This window comes from Homo sapiens, chromosome 2, assembly GCF_000001405.40.
Source record: "Homo sapiens chromosome 2, GRCh38.p14 Primary Assembly".
NCBI classification, from domain to species: Eukaryota; Metazoa; Chordata; class Mammalia; order Primates; family Hominidae; genus Homo; species Homo sapiens.
This window is the reverse complement of record NC_000002.12, coordinates 172,984,662-173,003,408: the sequence shown is the minus strand read 5'-3', so window position 1 is coordinate 173,003,408 and position 18,747 is coordinate 172,984,662. Positions and strand designations below refer to the sequence as shown.

Here is an 18,747-nt window from a genome sequence, read left to right as displayed (position 1 = left end):
ATACAGATTATACCCAGTCACCCTGGATTCCCCCGTCTACAGACAAAAGAAGTCAGATTTGACGTCACAGCTCTTCCACGCCTGTTTGCTTTCTTGCCTTCCCCTCTCCCTGCCCGCCAGTATCATTTTTCCCCCTCCTCCCTACCTGGGCATGGAACGGACCTTCTCTCCAGAGCGCTATTTTAAAAAGAGAAGTTAGTGATTTGAATGTTCTCAGTCAACCCTTGAAGGGGAACAAGCTAATACACGAAGAAGTTAGAATCTGAAAAAAAAAAAGACAAGCGCAGTGTTTGGGGCTTGGACTTGTAAAGATGCCGGGCCTTGGCCCGCTGAACTCGCTGACTCGCCCTTGAGTTTTGTTTGCCTTAGGCTTATCTGCTAAAAAAAACCAAGTCTAAACTCAATGGTGGATTTTATTTTTCCTTCCAGCAAATCTCAAAGGTCTATAATGATTAGTGCGTATGGAGTTAAAAGAGCACAGACATCCTGAATTTGTTCATTTTACTCGAGAAAAATTGAGTATGTGCCAGAAAAAATATATAATGTATGTAAGTCTCATTAAGCCATCATTACTCGGTAAAACAGTTTCCAGGCAAATAAACACACAAATCTCCCTCTTGAAGCTGCCTCTGAGTTGCACCTTCAACTCAAATCTCCTGTCCTCATACATTGTTTACTTCAAAGAGAATTATGAGTGAACAAGAAAATGAGAATCAGGTAGGGTAATTATAATCTTGAATGAGGAAAACATGCCAACATTCACTGAATTCCTAAAAAAAAAAAAAAAGAAAGAATAAAAGAGTCATTCTCCTTCAATATATTTAACTGCTCAAAAGGGCCAAAGTGATTTGGGGTCTAAATTTTTGTTGTTCTAAAAATAAAACAAAATCTTAGAATATACTTTCACATGCTCCCAAAATTGAGTGTGAAGCTTATTAATAATACCCACTTCTTTTATTCCACTCCCATTTTCTGAGAATGTTTGCTCTGTGCTACATACCAGCATCAACTGGGCCATTCCAAACACTGTTGAAAAGCTGTCCCAAATAAACTTGGCCTTCAAGCTATAGAGAGGAATTGTCACTGGAGTTTCAAATTTTGGGTCTTTAAGTCAGTAAGATGATAATAAAAAGTAGTAACAAAGAAAGAAATTTTGGTATCTAGAGGAGAGGATAGACGAGGATGAATGGGAAAAGAAAGTTATCCTACAGTGATAACTTGTATTTATCTCAGCAGCTTAGCAATTTAATACCATAGCTCGGAGGAGGAACACAAGCCGACCACAGTCCACCCTGCCAGGGAACAGTCTGTCTCTGAGGTTAGGGAACCATTCCTGCTAATACTCCCAGGTTCTTCTCCATAACCCTTTCTAGCCTGCCTCCCAGGCAATGGATTTTTTTTTTTTTTTTTTTTTTGCCAGCATCACCTTCCTGTGGTAAGCTGGTTCACACTTCTCTGCACAGATAATGGTACAGTTTGGATGTTTGTCCCTGCCCATATCTCATGTTGAAATGTAATCCTCAATGCTGGAGGTGGGCCTGGTGGGAGGTGTTTGGTTCATGGGGGTGGACCCCTCGTGTCTTGGTGCTGTCCTTGAGATAGTGAATTCTCATGAGATCTGGTCGTTTAAAAGTGTTTGCCACCTCCCCCACCTCGCTCCTGCTCCCCCTTCACCTTCAGCCACAATTGTAACTTCCCCAAGTCCTCCCCAGAAACAGAGGCTGGCACGATACTTCCTAGCAGAACTGCCAGTCAATTAAACCTCTTTTCTTATAAATTACCCAGCCTCGGGTATTTCTTTATAGCAATGAAAGAATGGCCCAATACAGGTAACAAGGAGGAAATCCTTAAACATGGCACAGCAGACCTCTGCCAGGCAGAGCTAGAGTCTGTACAGGGGAAAACTGTGGGAAATGTGGGAAAACACATTTCAGTGTGATGAGGGTGGAATGCACAACTCTGCCTGGGCCATGACTTACCTGCAGAAGATGAGATAAGAATGGCCCTCGATAGGGGGGGTTGTCTTCGAGGGAATAGGGACTTACAATCACAATAAAAGGATATTGGGCCACCAGTGCCGGGCAAAGCTGGGTATTTGGCATAAAAACACAGTGCATCATAATAAAGTCATTTAAAACAGAATCTGGAAGGGGAAAAAAACAGAAAAGGAAATTAGGTTCTTGTGGAAATCTTTAGGAAAGCAAGAGTATCCATTCACTTGTTCTTAGTCATTGGTTCTAACACATTGGTTTGGGGCATGAGTTTACTTTACATGGAAGCACTTCATATAAATAATGGTGTTGACAGAGATTGAGATGAAAATCAGTTTCTTATGACAATGGACAAAAAGTATAATATTTTAAAGAGAGACAGCCTTGTACAAACGGCACTGGGTACCTTAGCCACCAAAGATTTTAAAATCTGTGTACTTAAAGGGTCACATGTGGGCAGTACCATACATGCAGAACGAAGACATGGTCGTTTCTTTGTCTATACCGTATTTGTTTTTTCAAAATCCTTTCTCTTTTATGTCTTTTTCACCTCCTATTTCCAAAAGAAGCAATGAAAGGTAGGAGGACAATAGAATTACAGAATCAGGACGTGGTAAGAGCAGAGAATTGGTGAGGGGAGAAAGAAGCAGCAAAAAAAAAAAAAAAAGAAAGAAAGAAAAGAAAGAAAGAAAACAAGATTAAGGCTGTGAGCAGCAACTAGAGCAAAACAAAGGCTAACAAAACAGAAGCTGGTGGATTCAAATGGTGACTGTCCTATATGTGAAACTATTTTGTAGGTAAGGAAGCAGGGGGTTGGCAAGGGAAGTAAGGCAGGTCCCCCAAATAAGCTTCATTTACTTCATCATTGAATTTGATGCTGGTTCTTCATTGCAGACAACATGCCCTGGCTAGCCAGATGGGAAAGCTCATGAAGGCAAACCTAAAAACCTCAGGACTATGCCCATCAGAACTTGGAACCCAAGATGCCATGACATTTCCCGGGAAAACATGAAATACACTGTCTGAGATTGTGACGCTCATCTTAAATGGAAAATGGTGAGAAATACGTACATTTTAATGCTATAAATTAGATTGCCAAATGTTGTCCATGTTTTTAATGAAATTTTATTGGTGAAGTCTGAGTCAGTTACTAAAGGTTTAACCATTATACATAGTCATTTAAATATAACTGATGAGTGTAATACCAAGCTGTCACAACTCAATGTCACCAGGTCTTCAGTCCCGTTATACTGAGCCAGAGAAGAAGCAGAGAAGGTGTCAGACAGAGGCTGCAAGAAAATATTTTTTTTAATGTACCAAAGGATTTTGGCTTGCCTGAGCTTAACATCTAGCACCATCTTGATATGTTTTATATATTCTTGAGAACAGAGTAGGTAATACTTGCTTATATGCACCCAGGAGGCTGTAATATCCAGTAGTTTAAAGTTTGCTAAAGCAGAGACTTGACTTGGGTGCTCCAAGGCTGGGGAGGGAGTCAGTTAACATGGCCAACCACTCAGCTCACATTTCAGTGTGGCTTTCCGGCTCTCTCCTCACATGTAGCAACTCTTCTGTCTGGCACCTTCTCTGCTTCTCAGTATAATGAGACTGAAGGTGACTGGTGACACTGAGTGATGACAGCTTGGGATTACACTCATCACTTATATTTAAATGAGAATCATGGTTAAACATTTAGTCACTGATTCAGACTTTGCCAATGTAAGTTCATCAAAAACATGAACACTGGAAATCTAATTTATAGGTTAAAATTTGCTTAAGAACTAATTTAAAACATCACTTCCTACTAGAAGATGATTTACCAAGTCACTCCATGACTAATGCTGGTTTTAAAAGTAAAAATATAAGAACTAATAGGTCTCAGGTAGAAAACAGATTTTTGGTAAATTAAGAGAGTGTAATGTCAAATTCAGCAGTGTGCATTTTTATGATGTAAACAACTTTCACGGTAACTCTGACCTTTCTTACTGTACTGTAAATCTATAACTGCCAAAGGTCTCCTACTCTGGTATATCCACAAATTTCGTGGACCTACCCTAGGATTATTTAGTGTCCAGGACAGGAGGGAGGCACATTTGTATTTCTGATTTATGAGAAAGATACTGGTTTGTTCTTTATCTCCAAGGCATAAACATTACTTGTAGGAAAAAAATATCAGGAAAAACTGCAGGAAATGAAGTTCAATATTAAATTATGATGTTAGCCTAGTCTCTACCATCAAAAATGGAAGGGTCAAGAATCACATCCCACACGCCAGCCTTAGAATACACTGATTTCTAGGCTTTAATTTTTTTGATGAAGAAGAAATAATCAGGCTACTCTTGGCACACTGCCCATGGGTTAGCCCTGCTCTGCAAGGAACAGTAATTAAAAAAACAAAACTAAACAAAAGAAGCAGAAGCAGCAGCAATAATCCAATCTCCATCTCTTTTAGAGGTGACTTGAAAGGAAGGCTATACTTGCCCTTCATGGGTGGTAAAGATCTTATAGCTCATTCCTTAGATGCCACAGTCTCTAATGTACCAGAATATATATTTTTTTGAGTCAATATATACCTTAGGTAAGATGCTGATTCTTGCATTATGCAATCACACATTCTGGGCAAACAGTTAATCAGAGGGAAAAAATCAGCTGCATTTTTTCCTGACCCATGGTCCTGGAAATTTGGTTTATTTGAGGTTACATATGGCTCTTGGTAGCTATCCTCACATAACCGGTTCTTCAACAGTTTCTCTATACTAAATATGGAGTAACTTTTCTCCAGCATAGTTCTTATCATGTTCTTCTTGCTCAGACATCTTCAACCACTTCCCAGTGCTTGGCTCTACCTTTTTGTTGTTGTTGTGCAAGCTGGAGTGCAGTGGCATGATCATAGCTCACTGTAGCCTCAAACTCCTGGGCTCCAGTGATCCTCCCGCCTTGGCCCCCAAAGTGCTGGGATTACAGGCATGAGCCACTGCACCCAGCCGGCTTTACATTTAAGACTCTCTAAGATCTATACCCCAATTCTTAAACCTTTCCTTCGTTTTCCAACTTACGTATACAATAGTCCAGTAAAAATCCGACCACTCACTCTTCCCTGTCTATTTCTAGGTCAGTGCTAATATTATCCCTTAGTATGGATGGCTTTGTCCCTATCTCTAATTACTGGTTACCAGCCTCCTTCAGGGCCACTCTATATTTTCCATGATACTTTTCTAGATCCCTCACCTAGTCAGTGTCCCTGAAGCACTAACCACATTCTGCCTTATATTCAAGTTATGTGCACATTCCTTTATGTCTTCTAACAGATTATAAGCTTCCTGAAGGCAGGAGAATGATTCCTTGTTCACATTGCCTAGTCCAAAGCATCTAGCTTAGTGTCTGCCCAACAAGATACTCAACAAATATTGACCTGAGAATAATTGGCCTGGAGCCAGTGATCCTGACGATTATATCTACTATACCCTAATTAATTTGCTACATAAAAAACCTCAGGTAATCTATGTATAAAATGAGAAACTGGAATGAGAAGATAAAATAAGAATTCAGTGGTAAAATACCTTTAGGAGGTATATAATAATAATAATGATATCTTCAACTTGAATATATAGCAAAGGTCAATTATGGAAATGGATTTTGAACTAAGTTTTTGAGATAAATCTCTGAACTTCTTTTAGTGAGAAAGGCTCTTCTATGGAGCTCAATGTGCTTAAAATATTAACCCACAACATTATTCTGAGAGACAGGCAGTAGCATAGGATTAAAAAAAAAACACGTTGCGTGTGGGCTGTTGCAAAGTCATATACAAGATGGTAACCAAAGTGGAACACAATTTTATAACTCTGAACACTTAGTTCACTGGTGAGATTTGTTTTATTCACCCTAGAATTTCTGTGTCTTAGGTAACAAGACTGACTCACTGTAAGCAGATGTTATGTGTTGAATTGTATCCCCCCAAAAAGATATGTTGAAGAACTAACCTCCAGTATCTCAGAATATAATCGTCTTTGGAAATAGGGTCTTTGCAGATGTGGTCAAGTTAAGGTGAGGTCCTTAATGAGGGCCTTAATCCAATATGACTGCCATCCTTATAAAAAGGGGTAACCTTGGACCCAGAGACAGACAGGCACAGAGGGAAGGCTATGTGAAGAGTCACAGGGAGAATGCTGTGTGAACATGAGGGCAGAGATCCGGATGATGCATCTACAAGCCAAAGGATGCCAAAGATAGCCTGCAAACCACAGGAGGCTAGGAGAGAGGCATGGAACAGATTCTCCTTCACAGCCTTCAAAAGGAACCAACCCAAATATCACCTTCAGCTAGGATTTCTAGCCTCTAGAACTGTAAGACAATATAATTTTGTTGCTTGAGCTACCCAGTTGGTGGTAGTTCATTAGGGCAGCCCTAGCAAACGAATGGTGGCATTTAGTTATATTCTAGAGCAGCTGGACTCTACAACAACTGCAGAGAGAAGTATCTTACTCCCAACTGGAGCAAGGCTGTACCTTTTATGTAGGCAGCTTCAAATCCTTCGTGGGAATAGGTAGGATGTATGATAAACCCAATAGATGCCTATAGAAGGTGGGATTTGAATAACTTAAGAGAGAGATGCCTAGGGAAGATGAGGCATAGTATGTAGAAATGAGGCTGAGTCATTTCTAGAGAACAGTCAGGATTGGGGAGGGAAGACGACAGTCAGAAGGACTGTTCCCAGTCAGGTCACACAGAGATGCTTTTCAAATATCAATACACAGAATCCCCTTCCCAAACTGCTTTCGCTATACACACTGCAAATGAATTCAGGACTTTTAAACAATGCTATGCATGGATTTAATGGACATGCAAACGGTTCTATGTGTATACCTGTTGCTTCATTTAAAGTTGCCTCAAGGCGTATTGTTTCTAGAAAATGCTCTAAAATTTTTTCAGGTGTTCCTGACATCACAGTATACCTGGATAAGAAACAAAAATGCCATTAATTTTTCAAAAGTGGGCAAATCATTAAAAAAACTTTTACTTATCTAAGTTTTTTTTTTTTTTAATTTGAGATCCCAGGGAACCATATACCTTTCATGGTAAGAGAGACCACACACTTTGTCAAAGTCACACAAGAAGACAAAACAAACAAACAGAAAACCCACAAAGTGAAGTCGTTACTACAAACACTGTTCTTTTTTCCCTATATGGAAATAAGGTAAACTTCTTGAAGAGCAGCTTTAGCAGGCTGGGAACTGAGAAACTTCAGTCTTTTTTCCAAAGGAGAATAAAAAGGAACATGTAAAACCCAGGGCAGTTCAGGTCAGGCAGGGGGAGCTGGTGAGGGGAAGTGAGAGTAAGCTAGGTTATCCATATATGGGTTACTCATAGCAAAACTTCTTCCCACACTGGATTCCCCCGCCTATTTCTGGAATGCTCTGTCTTTCCCAACTGTACACTGGTATGTGCTTTGGAAATTCAGCTAATAATAAAACGAGAGAAAGCAAACAAAACCCCATAACACTGATGAGCAAACAAACAAACCCCAGTAGATCATGAATGGGAAATAAATCAGCAGTAGAAAATCCTTATAATTTATTTCAATGCCAGATATAAATTACTGGGGGTTATATTAGACATTATTTCAGAAGATCTTTCCATGGTGTTCTTCAATTAACACAGGAGGATTTATTTTTTAAGTTGCATGTGAACTGTTTCAAAATCATACTCAAGACAGTGACAAAACACTACTATGTGGGAGCTGTAGACAAAATACATTCAGATGATCTGAGTGCTTCTCTTCCAAAACTCAGGCTTTGCTTTTCTGCTTGGAATTTCACTTAAAAATAACAGGCAAGTAGGGGCCAGGCGCAGTGGCTCACGTCTGTAATCCTAGCACTTTGGGAGGCCGAGGCGGGCGGATTGCCTGAGCTCAGAAGTTCGCAACCAGCCTGGGCAACACGGTGAAGCCCCGTCTCTACTAAAATACAAAAAATTAGCTGGGCGTGGTGGCACATGCCTGTAGTCCCAGCTAGTTAGGAGGCTGAGGCAGGAGAATTGCTTGAACCCGGGAGGCGGAGGCTGCAGTGAGCGGAGATCACACCACTGCACTCCTGCCTGGGTGACAGCAAGACTCCATCTCAAAATACAAACACACACACACACACACACACACACACACACACACACACACACAAACAGGCAAGTAAAAACAACAATGAAAATAAAATTGTCTAATGTTCAGAAAGCAGTGAGAATTCAGCTCTGGTTTCCTTGCCTGTTTGAGACTTTTGAGGTGTGTTGAGATCCCAAGAGTAACTCTTAACATATTGTTAAATCTCAGGATCTTAACCCATGGCCTGAGGGAGTGATGTGCAGACATTTTAACATATGTGCATGTGAAAATGGTGAGGGGAGCACCTCTGGTATTGAATGAGGTGGCCAATGCAGTCTATCTGGAAGGCAGCTGTTAGCTAAAACTATAGTGCGCGCACAAGACCAAAAGGAAGCTAAACAGTTAAGTCTTTGAGGAAACCTGGCTTTGGAGCCTAGAGGAGGAGAGAAGGGGAATAGAAAAAAAAAATAGTCTACTTTCATCTCAAAAGTCTGACCCCTTTCTCAAAAGAGATAAGGTAGAAGACAATGGTTTTTCCTCTTGTGGGCAATGCATATTTGAGGAAAGAAGAGGGCATATTTATAAATGACTTTCGATATTGAAATAGAGAATATTGCTCAATTAATTCAGTAATTCCTGAAATATATGATTCTTTGATAGCACTCACCAGATGAGCTGGAAGAAGAGTAGCGTTGGCCACATTAATCAGGAAACGGGGTTAGAGAGAGCAACATCTGTCGAATGTTTACTATGCCCTAGACAGCTAGGTGGGCACTGAATAAGGTCGTCCTGTTTACTCCTGCTAGTTAAATATTATCTTCATTCTGCAGATGGAGAGACCGCTCAGGACGGGGAGGCATCATGCCTCAGGTCACAGAGTTAGTAAATGGGAGACCTCTGACATGAGCCAGGTGTGTCTGGCTTCAGAGAACAAGCATGAGTTTCATGGCACTTTTCTGCTTGTACAGCAAGACGCTCCACATGGAGACCAGGTCTAGCTACCTGGAGCTTTTTCAGAACAGGAAATTCTCCATGTAATTAACAACCTTCCTCTAAAGAGGGCTTGTTCAGTTTGTTTCTGAAAACGAGTTTTATTTCAATAGGAGTATATGTACATTCCATAACATGAAAACTGAATGGGGGGAAAACCAGTCTGTTACTTCGCGTGGCACCAGGCTGCTGGGAAGTTGCAAGCTCTATAGCTAGCCGTGTGACTCATACATCAGTTTGTAAAATGTGTCCCCTTGTCAAAAGTTTAATTCTACTAGAAGGTTGGCTTCACATTCTGGTATTCTTTGTTTGGACATCCTTTAGCTAGGGCATTATGGCTGGTCAAAAGTAATAGAGATCTGAGAGGCAAGCCAGATGCCTGATCACCTCTCTAGAAAGTGGCCTCTCTAAGCTCTGCCCACCTGGCCAGTCGGAGACCCCCAGGATCTTTCTTTTGCTACCAAAGACTTCCTCTCGTGGTACAGTTGCTGTGGCCACCTTACCCCAGCTTCTCTTCACAGCTCCACAGAAGGCTATTAGGTGCTAACATTCCCTTAGGGTGGGGGACTCCAAGATGGAGGGGCCAGGAACTTCTGGCCAGACACAGCCCTCTGGGTTCTTGGGGTTCTGGGTTTGGCTGAAACATCACGTGACGGCTTTGTTTCCCACTGTCCACTGCCAGGCACCTACTGCTTGGCCTCTGTTTAAAATGAGGTCAGGACCACTTGAAGACCACACAGCATGACCCTTTTCAGTTTATTTCATGAAAGAGCGACTCTAGTCCAAGTTAAAAGCAAACTCCAATTGGTTACATTATATAAGCTATGAAGTTTTAAACCTCTGACATAAAATATTTTTCTGCAAATGAGGACACTACAATCTGTTCCTAGAATAGAGAAGGGTGTGGAGAAGGGGACCTGAAAGAGACTGTCTTCCTGCACACAGGATGGAGTTGAGCAATGAGAAAACAGTCTAAGATAAAAGCAACACAGTAACGAAAACAGGAATATGCATTTCAAATTCTTTCTTACTAAACCCGCATAACCACACAGCAGAAAGACATGCGAAACAGTAAACGACTAAGGGCTCCATGGAATTTATCCTTCATGGCAAATATTGTCTTATTATTGACATTTTTAATATCACACTCAGAGTTGAGATGCTTAGGTAGAGTCAGGAGGTTTTGAAAGTTAAAAATGTGCACATAAACTATTCTGGATTTTTCAGGGAAAAAAATGAACCAGAAAAATAACATTATTAGCAGCACCAACATGGTGACCCTTTTTGAGCTCAAAAAGGATAATTTCTGAGGAGAGGCCCTACAGCTTCCTAAATTTTAAGTCCATCCATACACATGGTTGATGCCACATTTTTGAAGTCCGGAATATCAGCCCCATATTTATCTACATGCCCCCCTCCCCTTCAACTCTGGTCTCATTTGGGAAAGCTCAACATGGAAAATGACCCCTTGAGAGAGCAGCTTTTCATTCTTCAGGGAAATGATTATGTGTGGTACATTAATTTGTACTCACTGATATTTCTTAAATGGCTCATTGTGAACATGCATAAGTTTTTGAATTGCGGAAGAAATTTGGATTGGAATACAGGACACAAATAAGGAGATATAATAGAAAATCAGATCAGGCCTAAAATAATAAAACATACGGTCTCTTCTTTTCCATTCCTTTTAGTTTGATTTCATAAGAAACCTATATTTGGAGAACACCCTGAATGAAAGCCATTGTAACAGGCAAATGCTTTTGATCATTCCCCAATGACATGAAGAAGTCAAGCAAGGGGACCTCCAGGGAACCTCTTGATCAGATGTTTCTAGGTTAAGGAGAATTCTCAAGGCTTGCCTTTTCAGTAAGCATAATTTTCCCCAGACATCTGAAGCATTAGTTTAAAATACAGATAAAACACCAGGTATTTAAGGGAACCAAAGAAAATCACTAGAAGCAGTCCCAACCTTCACATTAAAAAAATGTTTTCATTCTTATCCTCCTTAGTGGACTGGAAGGAAAACTGTTAAAAACATTTGGGCAAGAACAATTTCAAGAACAGACAGTAGAAAACAATAAATAATAAGGAAATTTCTATGGTAATTTTATAGTTTTGTAAGTGACAGGTAGTTTTTTTACATAGTCCTTTTGATGTCAGTTCTTTCGATATGGAGTGGTTTGCAATATTTACTAAACAGTGTTGAGTATGTAGTCTTATCTACTATATTTTGTTATAGTAAGCTGTCAGGTGGAAGGGGGATAGGCATGTGAAAACTGGTCAAGCTGGACTTGAATCCAAGCTCTGCCATTACAAGCTTTGAGACCTTGGGCAAGTAACTTGTGGCTCTGAGCATAAATTTCTCCATCTTTTAAAAGGTGTTGTAATATGATAAGAATCCTATAAAATCTGCAAAATATACTATGGCTATTTAATAATATTATCTTTTTTCCTGCCCTCTTTGCAAATATGTTGATTCACCCAAATGAAAATGTCTGGGCCTTAGACTTTTAGTCTAAACAATAAAAATTAATCATTTATGGTGAATGCCTTGATAAAGGAAACATCTTGCTTATTTGGCAAACAAAGGAAAATTACTTGAGATGCATTCTCCTTCAACATATTATTGGGCAACATTTCTTTAGCTACAGAATTGGTGTTTTTATTACACTAAGATTGAAAATTAATCTCCATTTTAAAAACTAGATTCTGCAATTTTCTGTAATTTCTTAGAGCCACATTTTCTATTCTGTCTTACCACTCAAATGTTGGTACATTTGATGCAGTCTTATGTAGTAAGTTGCAGCAAAAGCTGGAACTGAACATCGGTATGCTGAAAAAGACTCAAGTTAAACAGGACATCTGAGAAATGTGAAGCTAATGGCCTTTTGACATTAGCAGGAAAGTATGAATGAGGCCAAATGGATGCTTCTGGGCTGAAATCAATAGACTGTTTTATATTGGAAGTCTGGGTTTCCATCAAAGACGCTCATTCTGATAACAAGAGGAAAACACTTCACGCGAAATCCTGCATACGAAATTCAAATACCAAAAGTTCTCATCACCCAGGGGCCTTCATATCCTTTGAGCTGCCTGGCATTGCTATTCCCATTGTTCTCTCACACGCCTTCTGTTCCACAGCTATTACAGTTGAACACTGTATACAAAGAGTGGTTTTTAGAGTAAAGGAATATTCTCTCCCGAATTACTCTAGGCAGCACCCGGCTCAATGCTGTGCCAGAAATGGATACATTATACTCCACAAGATGTGTGATTAGTCAATAGAGAGGAAAAAAGTCACATACACTGCCATCTTCCACAAAAAAGGAGAACATGCTATTGTAGAAATGATGATACCATGTGAAAAGGTTAATCATAGTCTGGCAATTACAGTGTTGGATGCAAACATACTTTTGCTGAGGCTGTGAGTTTCCTTGATTAGAAGCTCTGTTCCCTGCTGGGACCTTCTCCAGCACCAAGACATCTTGGTCATGTTCTTTAAGTCTGACTGTATTCGCCTCCACGTCCTGCAAATACAAATTACACCACATACAGATGCTGCCGCTTACTCAGACAATGAAAAAATTTTCAAATGCTTCAGAAACTCATTTGGTGCTTGTCATGCTAATTGTTGCGTCTACAAATTAAGTCATTTTCAAAGTCAAGGGCTGGAACGGTCAGAGAGAGGACCAGATGAGGTTTGAAGCATGTGTTTTTAAGACTGCTTTTACCCTAGCTTCAGAAAAACAGCAGAATAAAGCATAGTGTGGTTATGCTCTGAGAAACCTTTGGGAGAAGGAAGTAGAGCAGGAAGGTGGGGAGCAAAGGCATTTATTAGTTATAAAAATATGTGGTAAATAGCAAGCAGCTTCAGCAAAGTTCTTTTTCTCCTAAGTGTATTTAGTTTCCTTAGGAGTGGGGCACCTTTTCTCTTTAATCAAAAGACTGCTTTGTTTTGTTTTGTTTTGTTTTTAAGAAAAATCTGTTTGAAATGTGTTAAAAACTATTTTTGGTTATTTTAAGTGATTTTATAAATTACATCAATGATAATGGTCCTAATCTGATTCGTTCAAAGAATGTTTTGGCTGAATGTAAACTCCTTGTGTGTAAACTTGAAGGAGTTAGTACAGTTTACCTTTAAATTTCAATATCATTGTAAATAGTTAGTTTAAAAATTTTAACATGCTTTTCCTCAACATTTGGCCCTCATTTAAAAAGAGGTCAGATAAGAACCAACTCAAATTCCATCTGGTATTTTTTTAATATATCATTCAAGGGTATACATTTTAGCCTTTTTTTTTCTTTTCTTTTTTTTTTTTGCATTAAGACCATGCATTCCTAAGACAAACTTAGTTGTCAGAAATTTTGCCACCAAAGGCAAATGCTTAAGGCCATGTAGGGATTGATGTCCAGACACAAGGGCAGGAGCATGACATTGTAAATCATCATTAAGTAACGGGAATATACCCCAAAGCACAAAAGCTACATTTAGGACTTCAGGAGGGGATAGGGATGCTAAGGCTGCAAGAGGGACAGAAGGGACCCTGCTCTGTGGGTCAGCAGTGAAAGAAAGAGGGGCAGTGTGACCCTAGAAAGAACAGCCTCCTGAGTGAACTCAAGCTAGGGCGGGAAGGACCACAGGCCACCTGAGAAGCCACGGGTGGTGGGACATCGTCACCATCCCTAAAAGTCCATGATCAGGCCTCAAGCAGCCAAAGCAGAGTCATCCCTCCCAGGGACAAGGGACCGCATGCTGGGGAGAGACCAGAGACCATTTTTTTCTAAACATCACCCACACTCACAAATTCCTTAATATGCTTAGAGTAGGCTCATCTGCAGAGCCAACTTTTAAGTGCAATTGCATAGTTCCCTCTACCACCCCAGTTATTCACCTGCCTGCCAATGTCAGAAATTCCTTTAGTTTGTAACAATTTGAGATAAAGCCCTTGAAAATGAAAATACTTGGTTGGAGTAACCATGATAGATGTTAATTCTCAGTAAAATGTAATCACTCAATAAATCAAGGGAATGTATGATGATATGAGACAGGCTCAGATTTGGGAGGAGAAGGAGGTGGAAACTAGGAAGGTCTAGGAAAGAGAAAGACAAGGGGCAGAGGGGGCTGCCACTGTGTTGGAGAGTGGGATGGGAAGGACAAAAAGAAGGATGCCCAGGATGTCAGAGAGAAACTTCTCAGACTGACATTTTGCCAAGGCAATTCCTATTTATCGTCAATTCTCATGGACCAGTGCAGGGATGCATAGAGGGACTGGGTCCAGCATAGCATCCTGCATTTGCAGCTTTACTGGAATACAACCTCTGGATCCCAGAATGCATACCAACACATTAAATATAACCGGTTTGTAACAAAGGCCCTTTGTGCCTAGAGCACTCATTCATCACAGGACTACTCAATTAAGACTATGCTCAAAGCTTTGCTTATTTAGTTAAAGAAAAAAATGGGCTGTCTCTCAGCCACACTTTGCTTTGGACTCACCCTTAGGATCCGGTTGAAATCCTCCTTGTCTACTCTTAAGAAATGGCAGTTATCTTCTCGTAAGACGATAGAGGCAGCTCGTGGGGCATCATTCACTAGTGCTAACTTGCCGAAGTCATCTCCTTCATGCAGGGTGCAGACCACACCCTGGATAGAGTAGAGCACACAGATGAAGAAGATCCCTGAAATAGAGCAAACACCCACCACCTCCTGCCACAAGACCCCCAAGCCCCTAAAACATTGTAGATAAATGGGCTGTACCTAGCGATGCCAAAGGGGATTACATAATTACATTATGATGTTCACTTTGCTTTCACTGAGTAATACGGTCTGTGGCTTAACTTAAATGTACACACTATAATCCATCAGGAGACAAACCCCAGAAAGTACAATACAACTTTAAGTATAATAACTGAGGTAACTTATGATTAAAGATACAATAATGTCTTTTCTACATCTAGGAGCAATGTTGTTGCAAATTTAATTGTGGCACTACATTGCTAATACTTAGAGCCACACTAGTAAGTGGAGCGTAATAAAGTTTCAAAAAGAAAAAGATATATATACCTTGCCGTAAATGACTACATTCACTGATCCTTTTAGAATAATGTACCAGGAGGTACCTTCTTCCCCCTGGTTAAACACTAGACACAAAAAGATGAAAAGACTTATGATAAGAATAGAAGCACATCAATATAAATTACAGCTTATCAAATCATCACTTTAAGTCCCCAGAAAATATGCATACGTAAAATTCGAGAAACATCACTGGCAAATATTAACTTGTTCAGGTGGCACATTATCTCCTTTTCTATAGAATACAAAAGAAAGAGAAACACTGCATTCCTTGCTATGCCCTAAAACATAGGTTTTTAGTAGATATCAATTTATCAGCAATCTGTTTCTTAAAGCCATACACATTTCTTCCACAATTCATTAAAACTTATCCCATAGAAAAATGGCTCTAAAATGTAATCTGACAAGTAATGTGACGTTTAAAAACATGCAAATCAGCACTATATATTGTTTACAGATACATACCTACACACACTTGTCCCTTCGTATCCATGGGGAATTGGTGCCAGGACCTCCCAAGGATATCAAAATCCACAGATGCTCAAGCCCCTGATATAAAGTGGTGTATTTGCATATAGTCTACACACAGCTTCTTGTATACTTTAAGTCATTTCCAGATTACTTATAATAGCTAATACAATGTAAATCCTATGTAAATAGTTGTTATACTGTATTATTTAAGGAATAATAACAAGAAAAAAGTCTGTACATGTTCAGTAGAGACACAACCATCCACTTTCTTTTTTTTGGAATATTTTTGATCTTCAGTGGGTTGAATTCGTAAACGTGGAACACATAGATGTAGAGGACTGACTGTATTTTTAAAAAAGTGAGTTAGAATGATCACCACTACATTCAGGGTAGGAGTTACCTTGGGGTAGGAAAGATGAAAATGGGATAAATGAGGGTACAAAGGGTCTTCAAGTGTAGTTGTATAATTTATTTTTTATTTTTTATTTTTTGAGACAGGGTCTCACTCTGTCACCTAGGCTGGAGTGCAGTGGCGTGATCACGGCTCACTGCAGCCTTGACCTCCTGGGCCTAAGAGATCCTTCCACCTCAGCCTCCTGAGTAGCTGGGACTGTAGGTATGCACCAATCCACCTTGCTAATTTTTACAGACAGGGTTTCGCCATGTTCCCCAGGCTGATCTCGAACTCCTGGACTCAAGGAATCCACCTGCCTCGGCCACCCAAAATGTTGGGATTACAGACATGAGCCACTGCACCCAGCGTGTATAATTTAATTCTTTAGAAAATATGAAAAAAGGCTGAGTGCAGTGGCTCACTCCTGTAATCCAACACTTTGGGAGGCCACGGCGGGCAGATCACTTGAACTCAGGAGTTTGAGACCAGCCTGCCAACTAGGTGAAACCCTGCCTCTACTAAAAATACAAAAAAAAAATTAGCTGGGCGTGGTGGCACACGCCTGTAATCCCAACTACTTGGGAGGCTGAGGCAGGAGAATTGCTTGAACCTGGGAGGTGAAGGTTGCAGTGAGCCAAGGTTGTGCCACTGCACTCCAGCCTGGGTGATAGAGCAAGACTCCGTCTCAAAAAAAAAAAAAGAAAATATGAAAAAAATGGCATGTTATTATCTGACAAAGATTAAGAAGGTAATTGTAATATACTCTATTTTTTGTTTAAAATATTTAACTATTTCATAATAAAATGAAAACAATTAGCAAGTTTGAATGAAAAGAATAAAAGAAAATAAAAAAGAATAAGTCATTAGCAACCATTAAGATAAAAATATTAAAGTAAGCCTTGAACATTTGAAGAAGTTACATTCTTACTAAAATAGATATCAATGTCAGAAATATCATTTTTGATGACTGAAAGTAAAAAAACCACATTTACAATTAATGTTTCCTGCTTATTTGACTCATACAATGTAGCCTGAAGAAAGAGCAAGATTTTCCAAACTGTCTCTAAAGAGTTAACAGGTGTCCATGCAAAAAGTGTTCTATGTGTCATTAGGCTCAGGAAGTATCGGTTTAAACGTGGTGATCATTTCTCCTTATTGCAGAACTTCTGAGAACACATTAGCATGCTGCTGTGTCCTGTGATTCTGCAAGAGAGATTGGAGAGGCATTTCCTGACCTTAGTAGATCACTAACCCTGTTTGTTCCAGCCAGATTTTTGTAGGAGTAGTAAGGAATGCCAGCTTATATAATATTGTTCACATCTATTCACATCAAATTTCCTTTTCTTGCTTCCAAATATGATCACAGAACTAAACTGCAACTTGGATTTTGGTGAGATACTATAGATTAACACTGCATATGTATTTGAAGCAAAGAAATTCTCTCCAGCTTGGAGCTTAAAGTGGAAGTGAGAGAAGAAAAATAAAGTAGGATGGTTTAAATATCATTCTAACTAACAACCTCAAGAGATCGATTAGTTCTTCTAAAGCTATGAACGAAATGAGGTCACTGGGAAAAGGTACTGCCTCAGGCCCTTCCTGAAGGGCAGTGACTTCATCCCACCCTCTTTAAACACTGTGGTGAGTCAGGAGGGTAGGGAGCCAGTGAGACTCAGGCTGGCACCCACAACACTTGCTGGTACTAGAAAACCACGATACTTCAGAATAATTGACATGTGCTGGAAATAATCACAGGTCCAGAAAAACGAAAGTACCACAGGACACCCTGCCAAGTCACCAAGCCAGACCCGGGGCCAAGAAGTGAGGCGTTAGCAGCCTGGCTTCCCGTGGCATGTGCTTGCAAGGGTGCTGGCCAGGCGCAAGGTTCCAGTACAGCTTTTCACTTACACACAGTCCCTCCTTTGGCGTGAGACTCAAAAATGAGAACACCTGCTAACTCTCGTTTCACCTAGAAGAAAAACAGAAGAAACATGCAAAGGCCACATTTCCAGGTCTGGGTGGAAAAGGGTTGTACTCTTTCTGGGGGCACAATGCAAACTGTCCCGGGGCTTCCCATGCAGTCATCTCTCACCTCTCTTGCTGCTGCTCTCATCTAAAATCACTTCTACTCGATTTGCTGCTAGGCTTTTAAAGCTTGTAGCTCTTTTTATAGAATAGCTTATAGCTAATTCATACCAGGCAACCTCCTTAGAGACTGTTTCAAACATGGTCCCACCTGCATTAACTAGCCCACTTGCCTGCCTGTCTTTGGCTGTGGGTGAGAAGGGGAGACCATGTGCAACATCACATGATTCTGTTGTTACTAGTGACTCTTGCTTGCATTACATATAATGCATCATGGCAAACATGTTGGAAAATTCTATGTCTTGAAGCTGAATAATGAAGCCTAAATGAACGAACACATTTATATTCTTAGTTAAAATTCCAAATTATTCCTAGCTAGCTAAAATTCACATTTAAAAAAAAATTCCAAATTACGGTCCCAAATCATGGCTCTATCTTCCTAAGAACCCAGTAACTTGAGATTTTTCTATGCCTGGGTACCTGGGGTTTGAGGTAGAAGACGAGACTACCCACAATCCTCTCAATTCCACTGAGACCAGGGAAGTCGGATCGGGACATGCTGGGTCCCTGGAGCACAGGCAGGGAAAGGGGTCCTTCCTTACTTCCCTCTACATCACTAGCTCATGGAGCCTCAGCTTTCTGCCCTGTATATATG

At 40.2% G+C, this 18,747-nt stretch overlaps 1 protein-coding gene across 28 annotated transcripts in view; it reads right to left on the bottom strand.

The window, feature by feature from the left end:
* Nucleotides 1–18,747, bottom strand: part of RAPGEF4 (Rap guanine nucleotide exchange factor 4) — a 317,576-nt gene that overhangs the window by 49,485 nt on the left and 249,344 nt on the right. For all 28 annotated transcript variants that reach the window (NR_164739.1, NR_164740.1, NR_164741.1 and 25 more), the window contains 6 exons: nucleotides 17,916–17,976; nucleotides 15,137–15,213; nucleotides 14,570–14,716; nucleotides 12,484–12,599; nucleotides 6,855–6,943; nucleotides 2,065–2,143 (listed from right to left, as the gene is read on the bottom strand). Coding sequence is in view for 25 of the 28 variants with exons in the window: in XM_047443030.1 (XP_047298986.1) it covers nucleotides 2,065–2,143; nucleotides 6,855–6,943; nucleotides 12,484–12,599; nucleotides 14,570–14,716; nucleotides 15,137–15,213; nucleotides 17,916–17,976 (569 nt within the window). In the remaining 3 variants the exon portion in view is untranslated. The remainder of the gene's footprint in view (nucleotides 1–2,064; nucleotides 2,144–6,854; nucleotides 6,944–12,483; nucleotides 12,600–14,569; nucleotides 14,717–15,136; nucleotides 15,214–17,915; nucleotides 17,977–18,747) is intronic.